Here is a 25,700-nt window from a genome sequence, read left to right as displayed (position 1 = left end):
CCTTCAGACTTCAACAAAGGAGGCTGATGTGACTTCCACACTCCAGGAGTTCTTCTCACTGCCCCATGAAGTTATGGAGAAGTGGCCCTCCCCCATCCCCCAGGGGCTGGTCCAGTGGAGATGGTCTATGTCTGGCCCAGCTCTCTGCACGGGTAGCAGTGCCTCTCCCTTAACACCACATTTGGACAAGAAAGCTATGCACTTGAGCTGTCTCTTCCATTTACACTTCTCACCTTTGCTCCTCCAGCACAGCCACGGGCCATACCCAGTAGTAAAAGCCCTCCCCATGAAACCTGAAGCCCTGGTCTTGAGCACAGGTCACTGACCTAGAACCCCCCTGATTTACTCAAGGTTTTCTATTAGAAGCCTCTTTGACTTTCCTTGTCTGTGACCCATAATTAAGTCCTTGAACAGTTCTCGAGTTCATTTACTGGGGAGCAGCTTCTGGGGTGTCAGACTTTATCCCCAGAAAAGGCCCGGGACTTACCCAGATTGAATTACCTCCTCCCTGGTGTTCAGCTTTGCATAAGAAGGACCTCAGTGAGGCAATCATGGTTGAGTCAAAAAGATTTCATTCCACCTTAATACCAGGACAATGACTGCTCATTCACCCTGAATTTCCCTAATCCTGAGGGTCACTCAAGTGACTCTTCACAGGACAAAGAAGTTGAGCTACTCTTGATTAAAAAAACAACAATTGCACCCTCATACATTCTCTATGAGGCCAGCCTAGCCAACAATCCCCTCTGCTGTAGAATTGTAGGCCAGTGCCTAGAGACTCAGCTGTTATAAAAGAAAAACTTCAGCTGAATTAAATTCAAAGGAGTTTAAGCAATGAACAATTCACAAATCGGGCAGCCCCCAGAATCACAGCAGATTCATGGAGACTCCAGCGAAGCCACATGGTGGAAGAAGATTTATAGACAAAAAAGGGAAATGATGTACAGAAATTGGCAGTGAGATACAGAAACAGCTGGACTGGTTACAGGTTGGTGTTTGCCTTATTTGAACACAGTTTAAACACTTAGCAGTCTATGAGTGGTTGAAGTATGGCCGCTGGGATTGGCCAGGACTCAGTTATTGTTACAGGCACATACTCCTAAGTTAGGTTTTCAATCTTGTCTGACTATTAAGCTAGGTTACAGTTCATCCACAAGAACTCAAATATAGACGTATGGCCGTATTTAGTTTGCTTTAACAGCTGGAAAGCACTGAGGCAGGGGGTCCTGTGGCTTAGGTCAAACCAAACTTCCTGATGACCACCAGCCAGCATGCCCAGCTTGCTCCCACCTCACAGGGAGTTTCCTGAGCTTGGGGGCCACTCCTCCTGGAAGCTATAACCAGCCTTTTTTTTTCCTCCTCTCAGTTTGATAGTGACAATCTCATTATCTCAACCTATTGAACTAGTTTAAATTTTCCTTGTCATTTCTGCTCAGAGGCATGCATCATAGGTCCTGATGGAATGATTCCCACTCAAATATTATAGGGCCACTCTCACCAACTCTCCCCCAGCTGCACTCCCAGCCTCCTCACAGAGCATTTACTACAAAAAGCAAGCATGGAGCACACTTTTTTTTTTTCCATATTGGCTTAGTCTCTTACTAAAATACTACTTCTTGAGCATCTAATATGTACCAGGTCCTACTCTAGTTGCTTTACATACCTGATCTCCAATCTTTAAAACAACTCTAAGAGTTAAACATCATTTCCTCTTAGAAAGTTCAAACCAGGTTTTAAATCTAAAGTTATCTGCCTCTAAAGCTATACTCTTTCATGTTTAGATTAACAGCACCAGTTGAACACAATATTCAAGGTACTGTGGGAGTTATCTGTCAAATTCTGCCAAAATCTATCTCCAGCATGCTGAGTGTAGAAATTCAGAGCTCTCTCCTACGCCCACCTTCTGAACTGTGTTTGGATGTGTCCTGCCCACCTCATGGCTCTTGGCCTGACTGAGATTAAAGATGTAGAGATGAAGAGGGCAAAGTGTGAAGAAAATAAATTGAGTTACATAAGGAAAATCATGAGCTACTCCTAAAGAGACAGACTGGTTCTGGAAGACAGAAAGGAAGTACGAGAGAAAAAGAAATGTGGAATTTTTATTTTCATGTTTTTCCTTGTTAGTGTTGTCATCGATGGATATCCTGTAACTAAACATCAAATGAATCTCTTGGAAGCTAGGTCAATCATTCCCATGGTCATCTTTGAATTGAGTGTGCCTTCCAAGGAGATTTTCAAAAGATTGCTCCTAGAAAAAGAAAATGAACAAAGGTAATGTACATGATGAAGACAACAAAAAAGGAATAAACTTTAATCATACGGGGGAAAAGATATGTTTTTAACAGCTTTTTCCATTCCTTCTCTGTTTCCCTATTAGATTGCCTTATCCATTGCACAATAGTGCACAAATTGTAGCTGTCAATAATGTAAAGTATCGCAAAAATATTGGTGAGATTAGGCAATATTATCAAGAACAGCATCAGAACTGGTATGTGATTGATGGATTTCACAGCAAATGGTGGGTATGGAATGAAGTCATTAAGAATGTTCAAATGGTGAATAAATACATGCAGACATACCTGGAAAGAATAAAAGCAGGTAAGATAGCACTTTTTAAGGTAGAATAAAATATTAATTTCAAGTGTAAACATGCCTGACTCATGTTACTGTAATTCATTCCATTTGAACATGAGTCAGGCGTGACTTAATAAGTATTTCAATACTTATTATCCAATACTATATATAATAGTATTATCCAATTATTGTGATGCTATGGTCTGAAATTTGTATCACCCAAAATTCATATGCTGAAACCGAATCCCCAGTGTAATAGTATTAAGAGGTGGGGCCTTTAGGAAGTAGTTACATCATGAGGGCTTGCCCTCATGAATGGGATTAGTGCCCTTATAGAAGAGGCTTGAGGGAGCCTGCTTGTCCCTTCTACCACATGAGAATACAGCAAGAGAGCACCATCTATGAGGAACAGTGCCTCTCCAGATACCAGATTTGCTGGTACCTTGATTCTGGACTTCCCAGGCTCCAAAACTGTGAGCAATAAATCTCCGTTGTTTATTAATTACCCAGTCTGTAGCATTTGGTTATAGCAGCCAAAATAGATTATGACGTGGGCATGTTTGTTCTAATAAATGACTGCCGCTACCCAAGCTATCATTTATTGAATGCCTATGTGAATTTAGGACATAAAAATAATGCATGATCTCTCACTAAAAGGGTATATAGTGTTTGGAATAGTAAGAAGCTATTTTTCAGAATGTGTGCAGTAGTTATACGGGTCCATGATTGCAGAGTGACACCTGGCAAAATTTTATTTAGGAATCTAGAATTAAAATTATTTTTACTATTTACACCCATTATAGTATGATATAAATGTTGAGTCCATAAAAAAACTAAGCTTGTTCATTAAAATGTCTTTTAATCTATATTAGGAATTCACAGAAGCACATGTTTGATTATATATTCTTGTTAAATAGTTTATTGACTGTTCTCTGAAAATACACAAAATACAAGGAAAGTTATCTACATCTGATATCTCTAAAAAGAGTGATGACTACAAAGATGTGATCTGTAGGGGTCTCACAGACATCTGTTTAATGATTGTGTTTAACTTCAGAAACTACACAGAAGGTATGATGAGGTTTATGGGAGCAATGTGACTAAGAGAGTCCTATACAAAGAAAAATGCAGTGAGGATTCCAATAATAACTGCAGCACTGTATCTTGATTTGCTTCACCATGTGGGCATAACCAGTATTTCTGGTTCCTGTTTGTTTACAAATTGGGAATCTGTTTTCACCTAAAGATCATAAGGCATGAAGACAAAAGTGCAAGGGAAGGGAGAATTGAATTTTTAGAAATATCTCAATAAGCTCTGGATGGGATCGCACTGGGAAACACTCCACAGCAGACTTTGAAAGCGAAAGCTGTGCCTCATTCATCTTTCTGTTACTCTATTTCAGCCTCCCTGTCTTAGACTGGGTTCCCTAGAAACAGACTCAAGATGAAAAGTCACGTGCAGAAGTTTTATCAGAAAGTACTTTCAGGCGTAGAGTTGCCAGATTTAGCAACTAAAAATACAGGACACACAGTTCTTTTTTCTTGAAGGAGTCTCACTCTGTCACCCAGGCTGGAGTGCAGTGGTGTGATCTCTGCTCACTGCAACCTCCCCTTCCCGGGTTCAAGCAATTCTTGTGCCTCAGCCTCCCGAGTAGCTAGGACTACAGGTGTGCGCCACCATGCCCGGCTAATTTTTTGTATTTTAGTAGAGACAGGGTTTCACCATGTTGACCAGGCTGGGCTCAAACTCCCGACCTCGGGTGATCCACCCTCCTCTGCCTCCCAAAGTGCTAGTATTACAGGTGTGAGCCATCATGCCTGACTGACACCCAGTTAAATTTAAATTTCAGATAAACAATAATTCTTTAGTATAAGTATATCCCAAATAATTGCATAGGGTATACTCATACTAAAAACTATTAATATTCATTGCTTATCTGAAATTCAAACTTAAACAGGTATTCTTTAATTTTATTTTTTATTTTTTGAGACAGGGGCTTGCTCTGTTTCCCGGGCTGGGGTGCAGTGGTACAATCATAACTCACTGTAGCTTTGAACTCCTAGTCTCAAAGGATCCTCCTGCCTCAGCCTCTCCAGTAGCTAAGACTACAGATGCATGCCACCATGCCCAGCTAATTTTTTAAATGTTTTTATAGAGATTGGAGGGGGCAGTCTTACTTTGTTTCCCAGGCTGGTCTCAAACTCCTGGCTACAAGCGATCCTCTCACATCAGCCTCCCAAAGTACTGAGTTTATAGGCGTGAGCCACTGCACCCAGCAGTGTCCTTTATTTTATCCAGCAACTCTAATCAGGAGATACACCTGTGGACAAGTCAGGATGGTCAAATTGGGCAGAGGGAGAAACTAACCTGCAGTGTGGTGGGAACAGAAGCCCTCAGTAGATCCTGGGGAAACACTGGTGCTGGGAGGGACCTTCAAAATGTCCCCAAAGTGGGGGGAGGGTCCAGGCTTTGTATCCTCTCCACCCTCGCATCAGCCTGTCATTGACCGCAGGCCACCCCGGGAGGGAGTATAACTTGCGTAAGCTGTGACAGAAGGGCAATTTCCAGTCCAGCTGTGAGCAATCAGTGCCAGGTGCCCAGCAGCTGCAGGGTGGGTATGTCAGCCCTAGAGAGGGAACTAAGGATCCACTACATGATTCCAGTGCCTGCCTCTCTCACACATAGTTTCATCTCAGTGAAGTCTGTCCTGTTCTCTTCTGCTTCAGCGTCCGCCTGATAATCTAGCCTGTACCTGATTGTTTGAATTTAGTTTTGGTTTTTTTCATGCTCTGTTTCCTTTGTTTACTGTTCAAATGATCCTCTCCTACCAGGAGGCCAAGGTTTACCCTGATCAGTGAGATGGTACAAGGCTGGGGCTTAGAGAATTAAAGAGATTCCTCCTGCCACGTTCCAGAAGAGGGTACCTAGACATTGCCAGATGTCATCCAGAATATCCCAATAATTAGAAAAAGAGACATTTGGGTGTCTTTTGAGACTTGAAGTTACACGATTCTAAATTACCCTGTCACTAAACCTGTCAGGATTGGTGAGGTTCAGTACATCTGAGCTAAAGAGCAACCAAGAAATAGATAGTATTAGAATACTATAGCACCATGTAGTATAATATAATACTTTGTATTATAATACTATATACCTTAATAATACTATATATTATTGTACTATAGTACTACATATTATAGTACCACTATAGTATCATAGTAGTGTAATATTCTTTGTAGAAAATCAATATTGGAACTTCTTAGCCTTTTCATCTGTGTCATAAGCAACAGATAGAATAGTGTATTTGTTATCTATTGTTGCATAACAAATTAGTCCAAAACTTAGCAACTGAAAATAATACACACACACACACACACACACACACACACACATACCGTTCCTGTGGGTCAGAAATCTGAACACAGTTTAACTGGGTAGTCCCTTACAAGGCTACAGTGAAGGTGACAGCCAAGACTATGGTCTTTTCTGAAGGCTCAACTGGGAAAGAGCCCACTGCCATGCTCACTCATGTGATGTCGGTAAGATTCCGTTCCTTAAGTGTTACTGGACTGAGGACCTCAGTTCCTTGCTGGCTGCTATTGGCCAGAGGCCACCCTCAGTTCCTTGCCATGTGAATCTCTCCAACATGGCAGCTTCCTTTATCAAGTGAACAACCTGAAAGGGCAAGAAAGAGTGTCCATCTTTTGTAATTGTTTTACTTAGGGCTGCTGAAACAAACTGCCGCAAACTGGATGGCTTAAACAACAAAAATGTATTGTGTCACAGTTTTGGTGGCTAGAAGTCCAAAATCAAGGTGTTGACAGGGCCATCCTCTGCCTGAAGGTTCTAGGGGAGGATCTATTCCATGCCTTTCTGTTTTTCCAGTGTTGCCAGAAATCCTCAGCATTCCTGAGCTTGTGGACACATCACTCCAGTCTCTGCCTCTGTCATCACATGGCGTTCTCCATGTGTGTGTCTTTGTGTCTTCACATGTCATTCTCCCTTCCGTATCTGTCTGTTTGTGTGTATTTCTCTGACCCTATTTCCGAATAAGGTCATATTCATGGGTACTGGGGGTACTTCAATATATCTTTTTGGGAAACGTAATTCAGGCCATAATGGTAAACTAATCTTGGAAGTGACATCCCCTCACTTTTGCCATATTCTGTTTATTCGAAGCAAGTTACTCAGTCCAGCCCACACATGGGGGAGGAGATTACACAAAGGCAGGAACACCACAAGGCAGGGATCAAGAATACCACTGGAGTCATGTCAGATCAGCCCACCCTGTGGCTTCCAGTGATACACATGATATGATGATATGGTGAAGGAATTCACAATCAGATTTATGTTCAGATTAATTGGGCAATTGGGAATGTTAAGTGACAATAATTTTATGTGGTAAGGTATGGTAAGGTTCAAAGTCATTTGTTTTAAGGCCAATAATGCTCTCCTAGAAAGCCCTCTGTTAACTCTGTGAAACAGGCACAAAGACATTCAGGAGATCCCATCCAGCTGGCTCTCAGCTCTTCAGAGAAGACCAGAACCTAATGATATGGTCAGGATTCATTCATGGCTGGTAGCCTTTCTTCTGGGACTCAGAAGTTGAGTTGGGGATTCTAATTGACCTCTGCTGACTCTGATGAGTCTTAGATGTTACCATTTGGAAAATACTGTCACTTTATCAGTTTATGTCCTAAAGACCTTGTTAGGAGTAGTGCTGATGCCACACTGATGATTCTTTGCCTGCAAGAGATGAATAGAGGATGAGAGCCAATAAGCAATGGTTTTAAATGCCTGCCTTATTGAAGGAGGGCTGTGATTGCTTAAAGGAATGCCAGTTAATAAAGATCCCTTCATGTTGTGTATGTTCCTTTCCCCCTCTCCTACTCCCTGTTTAAAAGCAGGATTGTGGAGAGATTGCATAATGGAAACCTCTTTGGGCACGGTTTCCCAACCATCTCCTTTTCAGGATTACATGTGGCCTTTTGAAGAGTGGAAATGGTAGTTGGTATCAGGGGACATCATCTCCTGGACCCCCACACCCTCCTCCCCAGTACAGGCAGGCAGATCAGTGAGGCAATCAAGTGACATGACACCTCTGGCCTGTGATTCCAAAATCCAAAAACCTCTAAAAATATCAAGTTTAGTTATAAATCATTTGAGGGCAAAACTTCACATGAGCTGACATATGGCTATTTACAGTCTTTTTATGAAACCCAGTAAGTGGGGAAGGGTCAACCTATTTGGTTGCAGAAATTTCATCTTATCGATTACAGGGTGCTTCTCCAGACACTGTGAGGGTGTGATGTATTTCTTTTCTTTCATTTTGTTTGTTTGTTTGTTTGAGAGTCTCACTCTGTTGCCCAGCCTGGAGTGCAGTGGCTTACTGCAGCCTCCACCTCCCAAGCTCAAGTGTTCCTCCCACTTCAGCCTCTCAAGTAGCAGGGACTACAGGCATGTGCCACCACAGAGGGCTAATTTTTGTATTTTTTGTAGAGACAGGGTCTCGCCATGTTGCCCAAGCTGGTCTTAAACTCCTGGACTCAAGCGATCTACCCACCTCAGCCTCCCAAAGTGCTGCGATTACAGGCGTGAGCCACCACACCTGGCTGAGTGTGATGCGTTTCCAAAATCTAAAATATTCTGAATTATCCAACATTTCTGGCCCCAAGGGTCTTAGATAAGGGATTACAGTGCTGTAATAGTACATTGCAGATGAGATCATTTCTATCCTAACAAACAAAAAACAAACTATGATTTTTGCTTCATAATTTTATGGTTAATTTAGGACCTTCCTAGGCATAATCTTTTAAAAAGGTAAAACTTTGCCTTGGTAAAACGACAACTAACAAAACGTACTGGCTATAATAAGTCCACTCATTATAACTAAAATGTATTTAAAAAGTAATTTTATTTTCTATAACATCTTATATTGCTTTGAAGTCCCCATTCCAGTGGAGTATTAGAGAGAAAACTCTCTTTTTTATGTGTGTACTTACATTTTTGTTCTGGGTAAGCATAGAGAGAAAACTCTTAATCTTGTTCATTAAAGGAACTTGGGCACTTTCTTTTTAAAATCTACTCTTTAGAATAAAGCCAATCACTTTTGGATAAATGTTTGTTTTCCTTCTCTTGGGTGGGATCTGGGCACAGGGAGAACTTTGTGTGAGTAACATCATGTCAACAAACTATTTGCACTTCCTGAAATCTAGCCCATAGGTTTTTTTTAAATGTAGCAAGTTTATAAATGTGCGGGTATACACAGGTATAAATTGTGTGTGTGTGTGTGTGTGTGTGTGTGTGTGTGTGTGTATCATATATATAGTCTATAATAGCTAAGAACTAAAACGGCCAAAACATTCACCAATAGATAAATGGTTGAGTAAACTACATGTATGTTTATACAGTGGAATACTATGCATCGATTAAAAAGAATTAGGTAAATTGGCCAGGCACGGAAGGCTCATGCCTGTAATCCCAACACTTTGGGAGGCCGAGGTGGGTGGATCACCTGAGGCCAGGAATTCGAGACCAACCTGGCCAGCATGGCAAAACCCTGTCTCTACTAAAAGTACAAAAAATTAGCCGTCTGTGATGGTACACATCTGTAATCCTAGCTACTTGGGAGGCTGAGGCACAAGAATCACTTGAACCTGGGAGGCTGCAGTGAACTGAGATCGAGCTACGCCACTGCACTCCAGCCTGGGTGACAGAGCGAGACTCCATCTCAAAAAAAAAAATTAGGTAAATTATATAAGCTTATATGAAAAGAGGTCAAAGACCATAACTGACTGATAAAAGCAAGTTGCAGAATAATGTTTATAGTATAGTGGCACAAGCATACTATATGCAAAAAAGTATGTATGTGAAGGTATAGAAAAAAGACTGAAAAAGATACAAATCCAACAGTGATGATTACCTCTCAGGTTAAGTATTGGATTGAAACAATGGAGATGTGAATAGTAACTTTTACTTTTTACTCTATTGTTTGGAATTTTATAATGTGTATGTATAGTGCTGTGTAATTAAAATTATTTTAATTTCTAAAATCATTGCGTTCTCTATGAAAAATATATACATGATAATAGTTAATATGTTAATAATAGGAAAAGCTGCCTGCATTGACAAGTTATGTATCACACCTCAAGAGCTGCTTTCTCGCCTGGGAGAATTTGAACAGTTCTGCCCTGTCAGCCTGGCAGAATCCCAGGAATTATTTGATTGCTCTGCAACTGACTCCTTGGAATTTGCAGCAGAGTTCAGGGGGCACTACTATAAAATGAGTTCTCAGGAAAAACTGAATGTAAGTTTGTTCCTAACTCCAAATATTTACTAAAGAAAGAAAATGTCTTATCTTGGAATCAATCAATAGGAAGGGATAGGCACCCAGAAACTTGGGACTAGGAGCCCCATTACTGGAACTTGTGACTCTGGGACCAGTGAAGCAACTCAGCAGTGAGTTCCAAAACTGCATCCCAGGATATAATTTGAAACATTGCAGGAGTCCAGGGTCATTAATTGGCTGTTGGCCTAGGCCAGCCTAACGGCTAAGGAGAGCCAACAGTGAGCCCCATCAATGGAAGAGATGCTGAACAACAAGGACTCAGCCCACTGAGGATCCAGGGGATTCAGCACCCAGGGGTGCTGAAGGGAATCAGAGTCAGTAGAAATGAAGCAAGAGCTGACGTATGTCTCCTTTGCTTTAATTTTTTTTCTATCACTAGAACTCTTTGTATACCTTATATTTCTGCTTAATGGAACAGAAAATAGATTTCGTCTCATATTATAATGTCCAAAATTTGATGATTTTAAAAGATTGGTAGTTGAAAACAACAACAAGAAAAAACAGATGCCTCTGAACATTTTATTTCCTTGCAGAATTAGAATTGTTGTTCCCTTTATTATGAGATATTTATTTCTTCCTGCTTACTTAAATGGTAATCATAGAATTTTTAAAACTGGAAGTGACATTAAAGGCCATGTATCTGGCCCACCCCCTCCATTTTACAGAGCAATACCTGAAGCTGGAGAAGTTAACTCACCTGCCAAAGGCACCCAACCGGTTAATTACACAGCAGGACAGGAATACGGGCTGGCAGGGGCCTGCTCTCTCCAGTGACTGTAGTGTAGTAGGAGCGCAACAAGTGTTTTTTGTAGGAATGAATGAATGAGTGACTGAGATGAGGATAAATCTTGGATGTGATCACTTGGGAGTATTCCTGTAAGGAACTTCCTTTCAGAGGAGAGGTTATTTACAGTTTGAGGAGCAGCAGAACGCTGCTACTGAAAATGGGGAGGGTGCAGGAGAGCCTCGGTGGCCTTCTGATTGGCATAGCATTTCTGGTTTAAATCATGTTGCTACTGGAATTCTTTTTTAATAGAAATTCTTGGAGAACCCAGAATTGTACGTGCCTCCCTTAGCACCTCATCCACTCCCATCTGCTGACATGATCCCCAAAAGACTGACACTGTCAGAGCTGAAGAGTCGATTCCCTAAGTGTGCGGAGCTCCAGGGCTACTGTCCAGTGACCTATAAGGATGGAAACCAAAGGCAAGTCCTGGCCTTCATGGAAGTATAGAATGATATTGCTACGCCAAAGAAGTGGTTCATGTAATAATCTTAACATATTGGTCAAAAGTTCGCTGTTGTTTAATTGGAAAAATATTCTATTTCTTCCTTGAGCTACATAGGTAGAAAAATAAAATACTTTTGACTTTTTATTTACACAGGACTGCATATTAATTATACAATAGAGGTTTTGTTTTGTTTTTTGGTCTTCCAGATATGAAGCTCTAGTACCTGGTAGCATTAACTATGCTTTAGAATATCATAATCGTATATATATTTGTGAGAACAAAGAAAAACTCCAGAAATTTTTGAGGTGAGACCATTAAATCACAAATATTTACTGAAAATCTGTGTTGCATGCAACATGCTGGGAACGGGGGAGAGGAGTGTGTGAGAGAGAGAGAGAGAGAGAGAGTGTGTGTGTGTGTGTGTGTGTGTGTGTGTGTGTGTGAACAAGCACTGGTCCCTGCCATCCCAAAGCTGTCCAGGGTAAGATGGATTTTGAGTGCCTGGTAACAACAGAATGTGATGGACTTTAGGGTGGGGAAATGCCTGGACTTCTGAGAGAGTGTAGCCCAAAGGTCTAACTGAATTGTGTGTGGGTGTAAGGTCAGGATAAGGAGTGGGAATTGGCTAGATGAAGGAAAAGAGGGACATGTTCCAAGCAGAGGGACCTACAACAAACCTGGTCTAGGGTATTCCTGAACTGTAAGAACTTCAGCATAGCTGGATGTGATGTGGAGAGGGGACGGAGTGAAGGCGAGGCTGGAGGTGGAGGGCAGGGTCAGAGTGTGGAAGGTCAAGTAAGACCACCATGAAGCGTTTGCGGTTTCATGGACTCATGCTGTGTACACAGTTTGTGTCCTCATAGTGATCCTGAGGGCAATCTGAGCACATTGACTGATTGTAAGTGAGGTCCGTGTTGGAATCAAATTTGCTCTGGGGTCAGACCACTACTAAAGTGTAGACCATGGATTGGACTACCAGTGATGAGGCTGCCAGAGTGATCTTGTCTGAAATATGATAGCATGTTTGAGCTCATCCATAGTTATGTGGGGAAGGCAGCGGGCTTGGGACCACACCCTGAGAAACACCAATGCATGAATGTCAGAAGAGCTTACAAGAGAAACTGAGAAAGAAGAACCACAGAGACATGAAAGGAGAGCCAGGATGAGGAGGGTTGAGGGAGGCGGAGGGGAGGGATGGCATGGCAACAGGTTTAAATGCTCCTCAGAGGTCAAGCAAGACAAGGGCTGAAAAGCGTTTGAGATTTAGGGTGTAACAGGTCATTAGTAATCTTGCCAAGAATGGTTTTGTCAAGTGATGTGAGAGGACGTGACTACAGAGCTCCAAGGAGCAGAGCTGAGGAAACTGAGCTCTTGCCTGTAGTCCAGAGGCTACAAACAAACACAGTGCCTGCAGCAGCCAGGAGGCGAGGGACCTGAGGCAAGCAGGCTGGGTGTGAAGACACAGGAGTCAGGGGGCCTGGTGCAAACCGGACTGCACACGGCCGGCTGAGGGGACCAGAGCTGCCCATCTACTGCTGGAAGAAGCTGGAAAGTATTATTGCTGTTTAAATTGTTCACATTCCTAAACATCCACATCTGATTCAAATTTAAAAATAAAATACATGTGGATCAAATCCCATCTGCAGATAAAATTTGTGTGGTAGCTTGCAATCTCTAGTGAAGCCACTGTTTGAAGAAGTTTTAATTATAAAAAGAGAAGAGATGTTCGTTTCTGGAAGGCATATAGGATTTAAGGAGTAAAAATGGTTTTTCTTTTTTTTTTTTTTAAATGGGGAATTATGAAGATGTTTAAATGCATATGCACAGGAAGGACCCAATAAGGAAGTGGCAAAGATGCCAGGGCAGGGAGCAAGCAGGTGCTGTAGTAAGATGCCTGGAGAGAGGGAGCGGTGGGACCAAGGGACCTGGTCTCAGATGGGAGGCACCTCCACCATGGGAAGAGAACAAGTGGGTAGCTCTGCTTGTGATGGGCTGAGGAAGTCCCATCCTGATGGCTTCTCTGAGTACAGCATGGCATCTGCCTGGGGGTGAGGGGGCATTTGGGAGAGTCAGAAGTTTAAGGAAAATAAAGAAAGTTTTATATAATTGCTGTGAAAAATGAGAAAACTGAGTCGAGGTGAGTAGGGCTGGGTACCCAGTTGACATGAGTGGCTGTGCACTTCCAGGAGCCCCAGCATTCCCACTTGTATCATTTTCTCCAGTGCAGAAAAAGTAGTGAACTTTATCTTCTAATAGTCTCTTGTCTATTCCTATCTATACACACTGAGTATAACTGTGAGCATCCATCTAATGAACTTTGTGTTCTTAGGTCGCCACTGAAATACTGGGAACAGAAGCTTCCACACAAGCTTCCCCCATTAAGGGAACCGATACTTCTTACTAGTCTTCCTTTGCCTGGATATCTGGAACAGGTTCTTTTACTTAATTTTCTGTTATATATGTTAGAAGAATACAATGACTTCTTCTTTTTAACACTAATTTTCATTTTGGGAACAATAAAATTCAAGGCAGAGTTTTCTGATTTTAAGCTGCAAATTCTCTCAGCCTATTTTGTTTATATGTAGTGGTTAAAATAAAATGTGTGAAAATCCCCTGCTTCCATAGCTAATTCCCAAATATCTGCACTAAAGTGAAGAGAAAGTAGAGCGCCACAAAATTGTTTCCATTTGAATTAGATATGTAGTTTGGTTCTTACTTTTGAATTTCAATGTCTGTGAAACTTTTCATAATTTGAAATGTGCAGATTCAGTCCGTGAGAGGATCATTCACTGACTACCCAAAAGAGTTACAGTGACACAACCAGACCAAAAAGCCCATATTTTGCCCCACATCCAGATAAAGTCAGTTTTATTTACTGTTATTTATTTATTCTATTTAAGTTATACTTTATTTATCCAAGTATAACTTTTTAAGAATAGCAAAACTTAGCAGCAGCCAACTGCTATCTTTACTATTTTATTTTATTTTTACTATTTTTAAAGCTTTTTTTAAAAAAAGTCTACAAAATAAATGCTTAGGGCACAATGTCAAACCTTTGTCAGCAATTCTTAACCACTCTGATTTTTTCAACTTGCCTATAAGGTTAGCCTTCAGTCTTGTTTAACATCAAAATGCCAGATGAGGCCCACCCATAGGGGAGTATTCTCATGAAGGCCAATTTTTATCAGGAGGGCCTCTTACCTTCTTCTGGGCTCTGGAATCTTGCCAGCACTGACTACTGTGGTCTCTGGAATTACGTGTCAGGTAGCCAAGGGTCCTCAGAGTGGGAGGCAGTCTGGCCATTTCTGAGAATGAAAGCAGATACGGGCCAAGATATCGCAAAGCCTAGGGTCCCCTTCTTTCTTCTCTTAACTTTTTGTTATAAAAAATGTCAAACATATAAAAATAGAGAGACTTGTGTAATGAAGCCCATACTCCTATCCATCACTTAGCTGACACTAAGTCAGTTTGTAATTTTCATTTTTCCTAATCAAATGTATTTTGTATTTCTTTCCTGTTGGCTAACTGGTCATCTAACCATATTTATAAGCCCCATCCCCACTCCAGGGGGCTATTTGAGGCAAAGAAATAATATTTGCCTGTTTATCTATTGGCACTAAGAAAAGAAACCAAACTCAAGTATACACAGAATTTGAATTGTTCCCTCCCTGCAGGGTATTGCAACTTCTCTAATTAAAGCAATGAATGCAGCGGGATGCTTAAAGCCCAAGTTCCCCTTTTTAAGTATAAGGAGATCTGCACTGCTATATATAGCACTTCATCTCAAAGGTATGTCTTTTTTAATTATTTACTACTCAGAACAAATTTAACATTAATGGTAGTATAAGTGATGAATAGGATTGTTAAACTGTGTTGCCTGCTTGGTGAGAGAGAAAGAGAGAGTGTTAGTAGCAAATACAATACAGGGCAAATATTTTAAATAAAATGTCAAAGTTAAAATTCTATTTTCAAAGTAGGGACTAAGTAATACAGTCAGCTGTCAATAATCCATGCCATAAAGAAGGGTGAATAGAGGCAATTATGACCTAAAACAGAATAATCTCCAGATTTTATTTGGGATTTGGATATCTTCTCAACCATAACTGTGTAACTAACTCAACCACACATCCAGGTCTCTTTCATTTAATGACTCACTAACTAGCAGAAATTATTCACAGTTCTGTGAAATTTTCTACAGCATTTAATCCCAAAGGTTCCGAATACACAAGAAAAAAGTATAAGAAGAAGATGGAGCAGTTTATGGAGAGTTGTGAACTCATAACATACTTGGGTGCCAAGATGACCAGAAAATACAAGGAACCTCAGTTCAGAGCCATTGACTTTGATCATAAGTTAAAGACCTTTCTCTCTCTCAGAAATATAGACCCAATTAATGGGTAGTTTACTTAGGTGATAGCAGCCTGAATCTCAAGAGTTATCTGAAAGTGATAGAGGGAAACTGAGAGAAGTAGATTGAAAATCTGGGCCTCTTGGAAGTACTTTTGCCTCCTGAGCAAGGTACCATGGCTGCCAGACTTCAGGTGAACTCAAAGGTCTGCCAGCCAGGAAGGAGCACTCTTATGGAAACAAGTTTTAATACAATTTTAAAATGTATTGCTCTTTGCCTGAACTTTGATGCTTTAACAAAATAAACATTCTATTTATAATTCCATATAGAAAAGTTAAGTGACTTATTTAATAAATGTATTATTTTCCTTTTTAACATTTTCAGTAGAAAAGTCAGTCTCTGTTAAAATTACTCATTAAATGTTAGAAAGCTTTAAGACATTTAACATTGTTATAAATGAAACCAAAATATGGGTTATACATTTTACATACAAAACTGTTTGTGAACTTTGTGAACATAAGATACTATCATTTTCCCAATAAAATAAATGGATTTTGCAACAACTTACTGGCTGCCTCTTTTCTTTTTCTTAAGTATTCATTGAAGCATGCTTTATACCTTATTTTATAATTGGAAATTACCTGGAATTTTAAGAAGGATGAAATCTAGAGTCATTATATGACTCAGTATATGCTAGAAGAAAACTTACTAAATTGAATTTAATGAGATTTTTAAAATAACAATTTTCAGCAGCAATATAAAAGGATCTGGAATAGGAAACAGCAAGATTGACTCTTAAAAAATAAAAAATATGACCATTAACTGTGTAACCTTGGGTAAATTTCTCTGAGCCTTCATTTCTTAATCTCCACGATAAATGGTTTAGCTCTTTGATCCCTATAAATTCAATAATGTTAATTAAAAACTAGAAGCCTTTTTATATATCTTTTGCATTATATATTTCATAATAAAATGATTTTTAAACAAAAGCTGGAAGCCTATTGCCAAAGTTAGGATAAACCTCAAAAGCCTTTACTTTTTCAGGAGGCTGGGAGTTGCCAATAGCTACCAAGTTTTGCTGGCAACTTAAGCCCCATTTTTGCTCCCTGCCCATTTCTTAATGCCTGTAATTTACCATCTTTCTATCACCAACTGAAATCTACTGGCTTTTTCATTCTTGACAAGATATAAATGTTCTCAGGTCTCTTCAGCCTATGGGTATGATGAGTTTGCTTTAGCAGTTAAACCCAAACTTCATTGCTTCAGTGCCCCTGCCTTTACGAAGGGCAGCAGTCCCTGCAGAATACCGCTGAGTGTTTCTTGGGGTCTCCAGGGAGTGTCCCATGTGCTCCAGAGAAAGTCCACACCCACTGCACATCTCCTGGGGATGAAGTTCTCTAGTATGGCTTCGCCCTGAGAACTCTTATGAGCCCAAGGATGCTGTCTTCTGAGCTCTAACATCTCATGCATCATTGTTCTGGAGCTGCTGAATTCTGCACAAAACTAGGGCAAATGCCCTTTATCTTCTTAGTAGGAAGAAGCTCAGTCCCTGAGCTGAGTCAGCAACCAAAAGCCATGTGATTCTCCCTTTTCACCTCTCTCTCCATAGAGTTTCTTCCTCTGAGTAAATATATACAACAGAGTATAGCAGGTAGGAGGAGTGGGGAAGGAGTAAGGAGTCAAATTTCCTAGAGTAGCTTCTAGTGCTGGACACCCCAGGTCCCTCCCATTCACATGCAACTACAGTTAGCTACATTTGGAGCCTTATTTAGAATAACTACTGACACAGCTACTATTTCCCAGCTGCTTTCTATGTGGCCAGAGAGAGCGTGCTAGTGGCTTTTCATGCATTATCTCATCTCATTATTACACATGAGAAGAGCTTCCTACCCAAGATCACATAAGTACTATCCAGATTCAGACCCTGATCTGCCTTACTACAGAGCCTTGCTCTTACCCCTACCACTTCCTGCACTGTAAGCACATCTTGCAAACCACCATCACAGTGTCAGTGTTCTTAAGTAGTGTCAGTAGTGTCCGTGTGTGTCTGTGTGTATGTGTGAGTGTACTTTAGAGTACAAAAAAAATACGGGAGACCCTTGGGAAAGTCGTCTTGTTGGAGCCTGAGAACCACTCCCCTCCAGGCCCATTACATACGTGCACTCACACCCACCTATCATGTTTGCTTTCCTTCTCAGGGGAGCAAGCTGTGTTTTCCATGTCAAGGGGTCTGTGTCCCTAACAAGGGAGAACAACATTTCTGCAATAAGAACATGTATCCTTTAAAGCTTCTTATTGAAATTCTGCTTTTGTTTAGAAATTATGCTTGCATATTATTACAAATAATCCATTAACTAGCGTCCCAAATATGATGAAAGAATATTCTGAATGGGTGTCCAGGGACCCTTAAACCTTCCCTATGTGAAACAATAACAGAGTGGGTGGCCAGGCCACGGTGCTCACTGAGGCTGAGAGAGACTCCTTTTTGCCCACCCCCATCCTCCAGCTGCTGCCCCAATCCTGACTGCTTCAGGAAGAGGCTGAGGCAGTGCAGCTTTAAGGGCAAGGGAAACTCCAACCAGCCTATGCCTCTCCATGGCTTGTCTAGATGTCATTTTCACAGCAACAATAACTTCACCCAAGAAGGAGAAGCAGTCTCCATTTGACAGATCCTAAGTCAAACAGTAAATGAAATGTGGAAAAGTAGGAAAAGGATTTTGGAGTACTTCCTTTCCTTTTTTTTTTTTTTTTTTTTTTTAACGGTTACACTCAGATCCACACTGAATAGATACGCTATATTTGACCATTCCTATTGCTGGACTGTGTACTGTTGTACTAAATTTTAAAATACTACGTTGAGGTTGGGCACAGTGGCTCATGCTTGTAATGCCAGCACTTTGGGAGGCCAAGGTGGGAGCATCACTTGAGCTCAGGAGTTTGAGACCAGCCTGGGCATGTCTCTACAAAAATTTTAAAAATAAATAAAATACTGTGTTGAATCTTTCCCTCTTATATTTAGGATTATTAGCCTGATATAAATTCTGAGAAATAAAATTGCTGGGTTAAAGGGCATGACTATTCTTAAATGGATATTCACAATTCATATTACCAAGCAACTTTCCAAAATAATTACAGCAATTTATACTGCTTCCAGGAGCACCCAAGAACACCAATTTCAATACTTCTTTACAATCACTTGGCAGTATCTTCACATTTTTTTTTTCTTTAATGGGTGAAAAGCAGAACCTTTTTGCTTTAATCTGAACTAATAGTGAGATTGTATATTATTGCATATGTTGGTCACCAGTTGCATTTTCTCTTTTGTGAATTATTATCACATCCTTTGCCCTCTAACTTATGCAGCGTTTAAAAGTTGTTCTGCATGAGTTCTTTATGTAATATAGACATCAACCTTTTGAAGTACATATATTCCATTTTTTAGGTATTAACATAAAACATGTTCATCATTGCTTTCTAATTTTTTTTTTTTTTTTGAGATGGAACCTCGCTTTTTCGCCCAGAGTGCAGTGGTGTGTTCTCAGCTCACTGCAACCTCTGTCTCCCAGGTTCAAGCAATTCTCTTGCCTCAGCCTCCCAAGTAGCTGGGATTACAGGCACCCACCACCATGCCTGGCTAATTTTTGTATTTTTAGTAGAGATGGGGTTTCACCATGTTGGCCAGGCTGATTTTGAATAGTCTTCTAAGCTCTGGAAATTCTTCAATCTCTAGAAATGGAATATTCCATTCTGTTTTATTTTACTTATTTGTGTTTTAAAAAATATATATTTGGCCGGGTGCAGTGGCTCACGCCTGTGATCCCAGCACTTTGGGAGGCCAAGACGGGCGGATCACGAGGTCAGGAGATGGAGACCATCCTGGCTAACACGGTGAAACCCCATCTCTACTGAAAATACAAAAAATTAGCCGGGCATGGTGGCAGGCGCCTGTAGTCCCAGCTACTCGGGAGGCTGAGGCAGGAGAATGGCGTGAACCCGGGAGGCGGAGCTGACAATGAGCCGAGATCGCGCCACTGCACTCTAGCCTGGGCGACAGAACGAGACTCCATTTCAAAAAAAAAAAAAAAAAAAGGAAAAATAAATAAATAAAAATAAAGATATATATTTAATTCTTTAAGTCCTCTAGAATTTATTTCAGGATATGGTGTGAACTGTGGTTTTAAATTCTTCAAAACTCAAAGTACAGTAATAAATACTATATTTTTTAAACGTTCTCAATTTTATTATATATTTTTCACTTTATTTGCAATTCATTTGGTAATTTGTTGAATTCAGGCAATTCATTAAAATTTCACAAATTCAGTGATGAAGGGGAGGAAGTTCAAGAACAGGATAGGCTGGGCGCGGTGGCTCACACCTGTAATCCCAGCACTTTGGGAGGCCAGGGCGAGTGGATCACAAGGTCAGGAGTTCGAGACCAGCCTGGCCAACATAGTGAAACCCCCATCTCTACTAAAAATACAAAAATTAGCTGGGCATGGTGGCGCACACCTGAAGTCCCAGCTACTCGGGAGGCTGAGGCAGGAAAATCGCTTGAACCCGGGAGGCGGAGGTTGCGGTGAGCCGAGATCAGGCCACTGCACTCCAGCCTGGGCAACAGAGCAAGACTCCGTCTCAAAAAAAAAAAAACAAAAAAAAAACGGAAAGAACAGGATAGGAATGAGAGATATATTTTACACATGAACGCCTTTGTCTAGTTGTGGGTGATTTTTTTTTTTCGTTTTTTCTTTTTTTTTTTTTTTTGGTTTGTTCTTACTTTTACAAATGAAGATCCGGGTTAAAGAATATCAAGCTACAAAGCCTGAGAGCCCTTAACTATGGGTGGTTCTGGGAAGAATTATCAGAGGGAGTGACACCTGAATTAAATGGACTTTTTAAAATCAAAGCAGGTAAAATTTTAAAAAAATAAGTCAAATTTGAGATTATAACCAGGGGGTGAAAAACATTCCAAGAATTAATTTGTGAGCACACGTATTCACCAAACCTGTGAGACGCATGTTGAAGACTGCTTAGCATATGCAAGCATGTGTATATTTACAAGAATTCTACCAGTCTGTGTACAGTAGGAGATTAAAATATAAGCAGATACATGCCCTGCCCTTGTGTAGTACAGGACACATGGGATCTGGAAATTGGAGCACTACTGGATTAGTGCTATAAAATCCCTCTAAAGATGCACTATTGGCACTGAACATTGACAATTGTCCTTCTGTTCTCCCCAAATCCCTTTAAGTCATAATAAGCCTTGGACTATAGTTCCTTCCAGCCACAGTTATCAACCAACCATCCCAGGCTACACACATATTTTTGATGCCCTTCATCATGACAAAGGACTTCCACTAACCTTTAATTGCCAGATGATCATGACCTTCTCCTTCCTCCAATCTGCCAGATTCTCCATTGACTCAATACAACTGGAAGCTAGCCGGCACAGGACTTTGATGATGAAGTCCTTGAGTCCCTGTAGCCTCCCAGGGCCAAAAAAAAAAAAAAAAAAAGGAGAGAAGAATGGAGACTACATTTGGAGAGGAAAGAGAAAAAATCTGGATCGCCTTTTATCAATATTCACTCTGTAACTGATCTTACTTACAACAATTTATAATCTATGCTCTGATAACTCCATTATTAATATCTCAATTCTGTTCTCAGCTCTGAACTCCAGATTGTTACCTATGACTGCCTACTGTACTTGGTTATCTAGTTAACATTTCAAATTTAATATGTCCACCCCATACTTGTTATCCAACCCAACTTCTCTTCTTCCAGATCAGTTAATGGTAACACCGTACACTCTGTTGATTTAGCCCCAAACCCAGGAGTCAATCTTGATTGCATTGTTTCCGTCACTCCGCACATCTATTCTCAGCAAGTCCTCTCAGAAAGACCTATCCCCCAAATCTACCTTGAATATGGGCTCTTCTTACATTTTACACTGCTGTCACCCTCATATCCATGCCTCCACTCATGTCCCTCCAGGATCTACTCTTCATCTAGCAGCTGGAGTAATTTTTAAATACATAAGTCAGATTCAACAGTCCTTTTGAATAATCTTCCAGTGGCCTCCTATTTCAGTTAAAATCGAAACTCCTTTTTCTTGGCATAAAAGACTTTACATGATCTGGCTCTTCTTGCCTTTAACATTCTCTCCATCCTTCTCTTTCTCTCTCTCTTTTTTTTTATTATTTTTTTTTATTTTTTATTTTTGGAGACAGAGCCTTGCTCTGTCGCCCAGCCTGGAGTGCAGTGGCATGATCTCAACTGACTGCAACCTCCGCCTCCCGGGTTCAAGAGATTCTCGTGCCTCATCTTCCTAAGTAGCTGTGCCACCACGCCCGGCTAATTTTTGTATTTTTAGTAGAGACGGGGTTTTGCCATGTTGGCCATGCTGGTCTTGAACTCCTGGCCTCAAGTGATCCGCCCACCTTGGCCTCCCAAAGTGCTGGGATTACAGGCATGAGCCACTGCACCCGACCTGGCATTGACCAATAACTTTGAAATGCCATTATCTCCTCTACAGTGTTTGAAGTATGCACTCTATTTGTACCAATTAAGTGGCTGTCCCTTACTCTTTCACCATGTATATGTAAAGCCTCAAGGTAATCAATAGCTGTACCCTTAAAACACTGGAATACTGATAACCAGCTTCCCATCTTAAATGGTATTTTCATTCAATATTTTAGATCTACTCTATTTGTTTACTCTCCGAATTAGACATTATTTTGCATAATCAATGTTTGTTTAGATTTCCTTCATACTTACTTTTTTCTCTTTTTTTTTTTTTTTTTGGCTTACAACTCCCTCTTATACCTCAGACTTTCCTCTTGGTGTTATTTTCCTTCCTATGGTATGGGTTTGTTGGAGGTTAATACTTTTATTTTTTGTTTGACCAAAATTGTCTTGATTTTGTCCTTTTCCATGATAATTGTAGTCTATAAAAAAGATTTTAGGTGAATTTTGAAAGTATCATGCCACTAACCTCTGGCTTCTACTATTGCTGTTGAGAAACCAGCTGTCATTTTAACTGGTTTTCTTTTATAGGTACAGTCATGCATTGCTTAATGACAGGGATATGTTCTGAGAAATGCATCACTAGGTGACTTCGTCACTGTGCAAACATCACAGAGTGAACTTACACAAACCTAGATGGTATAGTCTACTACACACCTAGGCTCTATGGTACAACCTATTGCTCCTGTGCTACCAACCTGTACAGAATGTTATTGTACTGAATACTGTAAGCAGCTGTAGCACAGTGGTATTTCTGTATCTAAACATATCAAAACATAAGAAAGACACTTAAAATACAGTATACTGATGGCTCATGCCTGTTATCCTAGCACTTTGGAAGGCCTAGGTGGGCAGAGCACTTGAGCCCAGGAGTTCAAGACCAGCCTGGGCCACATGGCAAAACCTCATCACTACAAAAAATACGGAAAAAAAAAAATAGTGGAGTGTGGTAGCATATGTCTGCAGTCCCAACTACTCAGAAGGCTAAGTGGGGAGGATCACCTGAGACCAGGAGGTAGAAGTCACAGTGAGCTGAGATCATGTCACTGCACTCCAGCCTAGGCAACAGGGTGGGATTTTGTCTCAAAACAAAACAGTATAAAAGAAAAAAAAAGTACACCTGTGTAGGGCACTTACCATGAATGGAGCTTACAGGAATAGGAGTTGCTCTGGGTGAGTCAGTGAGTGAGTGGTGAGTGAATGTGAAGGCCTAAGACATGGCTATACACTACTGTAGACGTTATAAACATTGTACGCTCTAAGCTACACTAAATTTATATGAAAAAAAATTCTTTGTTGGCTGGGTATAGGTGGCTCATGCCTGTAATCCCAGCATGGGAGGCTGAGGCAGCATTTATTTTTTTAAATGGGTGTCCTGTGTCTTTATTTGTGAAATCTGGCAACTCTCCACTCCATCTGCTGCCCCTCACTCACTGTGCTCCAGCCACACAGTCCTTGCCGTTCATCAGATGCTCCTTCCCAGTCTGAGCCTTTATGCTTGCTTTTCCCTTGCCTAGAACATTTTTATTCCAGATCTTCCCACAGCTGTCTCCATGTCATTCAGATCTCAGCTCAAATGTCACCCTATCCTGATTTCACTTCCCTGTCAGTCTCCATCATCATTCTTTATAAAATTTAACACTTTCTGAAACTATTATTCATTAGTTTACTTGTATATTTGTCCTGTCTCCCCTTAGTAGAATGTAAGCTTCATGAGAGCAAAGGCCTTGTTAGTTGCTGTATCCCCAACACCTGACGCCAATGTCTGGCTCTTAGTAGACACTCGATAAATATCTGTTAGATGAATGTATGACACCCCAAATCCTGTTCTGCAAGATTTAAATTTAAGAAGACCTGTTAGGGGTAGACCGGCTGGCCTTAACAAGAACAAAAGTTTTGAAAAAGTCAGTATGGATCCAAAACAAAATTGCCTTGAAGAAAGGGCTAGTCTGTGTTGTGGGTGGCTGATGCTGGAAGATCCTCCAGACTCAGTCTTTCCTCGCAGGATTATGCTCCAGTGAGCAATGATTGAATGAGGAAATGGAAGTACCTGGCTTACCTTGGCACTGAGTCTTCTTATGCCGTTGAGGACCTCTGGAGGGACAGTGATTTGACTGCAACCCTCGTAGCAGCAAGAAACAATGAGGTAGCTAACTTCCTGCTGGTATGCAGAAGTCAGGGAGCGCTCCCCATCCCACTTGTACCCCCACAAATCCAGAGGACTTAGAGACAATTCAATATGAAAGGGAAACCTCAGAGAAGGAGCATGTGTGGCTTGAGCTAGTTTTAATAAAATCTAGTAAAAATGTAAGAGCCAGGTTGCTAATTACACCTCCGGTTCAAGATCAGGGAGGCTATAGATGGCATGTTGGGAATCTGGAAATGGGCAGAAAAATAAGTAATTAGGTATTGGCTAAGAGAGAGAAAATGCTGAAATAAATGGATGGAAGCAGGTGGGGAGTAGATCTGGATGGGGCTTGTAGACCACATTAAGAAGCCTGGACTTTATCCAGAGGGCATGTGGGAGCCACATGGATTCTAAGCCAAGGAGTGACTCTAGTCTCTGGATCTCATATGTACTTGGAGAAATCCTCTGTACTTCTGCGAATTAAAGAGAACAACGCTGCAGCTGAGACCAGTTAGAAACAGTCTATTGAACAAAGATGATGAAAGTTTGAATAATAATGATCATTTTAATCACAGCAGACGAATTAAACCAGGCATTTCCTAAGCCCATTACATACTTAATTTTGTTTATGCAATAGCAACCCTACCAAAGTGGCACTAGTGTTAACATCTCCATTTTACAGGTAAGGTAAAGAAGTTGTGAGGGTAAGTAATTTGCCCAAGATCTCTCAGAACCCAGGTTTCTCTGACTGCAGTGCTCTCTTCATTCCCTTAGACTAAGGCATCAGGAGTGGGGAGGAAAAGGAGGCAGATGTGAAAAACATTTAGGAGGTAAGTAATAGTTATTATATTAGCACTAGATAATGACGATGGTGATGATGATGACAATGATGATGACGGTAAGGGGGATTTCATGCCTTTATACATTCAAGAACAACACCAGATTCGGTGTCGGAGAAGAGATAAAATTAAGGTATTGGCGTTGAGCTAACAGTTTAATACGATATAAAACTTCCCAAAGGGAGGGGTCACAACGCCTCTCCTGTCCATTGCCCCCAATTCACCGCAAAAGTCGCTCCTGCCTGGGCTCCCCGGCAGTGCCACACGCAGGACCTCGGGCGCCGACACCGCCCCGCCCCTGGCCGCGCCCCGCCCCGGCCACTGTCCCTCCTCCGAAGCCGCGCCCCTCCCCGCCCTGCCCCGGCCCCGGCCCCGGCCCCGGCCCCAAAGCCCCGGGCCTGCCATCTCGCCCCGCCCTGCCCCGCCCCGCCGCGGCTCCCCCGACCCCAGGCCTGCATTCTCGCCCCGCCTTGCCCCTCCCCTCCCCTGCCACGCCCCAACCCTTGAACTGCCTTCGCGCCCCGCCTTGCCCTGCCTTGCCCCGCCTTGCCCCGCCCCGCCCCGCCCCGCCATCTCGCCCCGCCCCGCCCCTCACCTCCCTTCCCCTCCCCGCCGCTCTCGTGGCCCCCACCTCCAGGGGCGCCTCTGCGGGCCACGTGGTTCGGCGTCCGCGCGCAAGCGGCTCTTGGCGCCGCGCTTCCGGGT

At 41.5% G+C, this 25,700-nt stretch overlaps 1 protein-coding gene and 1 long non-coding RNA gene across 17 annotated transcripts in view, besides 4 other annotated features; one reads left to right on the top strand and one right to left on the bottom strand.

Moving 5' to 3' along the window:
* Positions 1–16,070, top strand: part of AK9 (adenylate kinase 9) — a 198,348-nt gene extending 182,278 nt beyond the window's left edge. For 12 of the 16 annotated variants that reach the window (XM_047418304.1, NM_001145128.3, XM_011535552.3 and 9 more), the window contains 8 exons: positions 2,125–2,271; positions 2,378–2,598; positions 9,685–9,881; positions 10,960–11,129; positions 11,362–11,460; positions 13,485–13,587; positions 14,830–14,944; positions 15,354–16,070. In XM_047418304.1, the coding sequence (XP_047274260.1) occupies positions 2,125–2,271; positions 2,378–2,598; positions 9,685–9,881; positions 10,960–11,129; positions 11,362–11,460; positions 13,485–13,587; positions 14,830–14,944; positions 15,354–15,556 (1,255 nt within the window). In that variant the 3' untranslated portion in view covers positions 15,557–16,070. The other 4 variants (XR_942337.3, XM_017010386.2, XM_017010384.2 and 1 more) reach the window with 4 other exon arrangements.
* Positions 86–611: an enhancer, noted in NCBI's record as "OCT4-NANOG-H3K27ac hESC enhancer chr6:109829517-109830042 (GRCh37/hg19 assembly coordinates)". NCBI's record gives its function as "activates a minimal SCP1, AML or CMV promoter by ChIP-STARR-seq in naive H9 embryonic stem cells {active_cell/tissue: H9 hESC(naive)}" and the evidence as "EXISTENCE:reporter gene assay evidence [ECO:0000049][PMID:30033119]".
* Positions 612–1,137: an enhancer, noted in NCBI's record as "OCT4-NANOG-H3K27ac hESC enhancer chr6:109828991-109829516 (GRCh37/hg19 assembly coordinates)". NCBI's record gives its function as "activates a minimal SCP1, AML or CMV promoter by ChIP-STARR-seq in naive H9 embryonic stem cells {active_cell/tissue: H9 hESC(naive)}" and the evidence as "EXISTENCE:reporter gene assay evidence [ECO:0000049][PMID:30033119]".
* On the bottom strand, positions 2,073–25,281 carry ZBTB24-DT (ZBTB24 divergent transcript). The gene is made up of 4 exons (NR_187591.1): positions 24,088–25,281; positions 20,866–20,989; positions 14,357–14,460; positions 2,073–2,248 (listed from the first exon to the last, which is right to left on the bottom strand). It is a non-coding gene; the product is annotated as a ZBTB24 divergent transcript (long non-coding RNA).
* Positions 17,608–18,318: an enhancer, noted in NCBI's record as "NANOG-H3K4me1 hESC enhancer chr6:109811810-109812520 (GRCh37/hg19 assembly coordinates)". NCBI's record gives its function as "activates a minimal SCP1, AML or CMV promoter by ChIP-STARR-seq in primed H9 embryonic stem cells {active_cell/tissue: H9 hESC(primed)}" and the evidence as "EXISTENCE:reporter gene assay evidence [ECO:0000049][PMID:30033119]".
* Positions 25,206–25,645: a silencer, noted in NCBI's record as "silent region_17464". NCBI's record gives its function as "represses an Ori minimal core promoter by ATAC-STARR-seq in GM12878 lymphoblastoid cells {active_cell/tissue: GM12878}" and the evidence as "EXISTENCE:reporter gene assay evidence [ECO:0000049][PMID:35858748]".

Source organism: Homo sapiens, chromosome 6 (genome assembly GCF_000001405.40).
Source record: "Homo sapiens chromosome 6, GRCh38.p14 Primary Assembly".
Taxonomy (NCBI): Eukaryota; Metazoa; Chordata; class Mammalia; order Primates; family Hominidae; genus Homo; species Homo sapiens.
The sequence above is the reverse complement of the archived record's forward strand: the minus strand, read 5'-3'. Positions and strand labels throughout refer to the sequence as shown.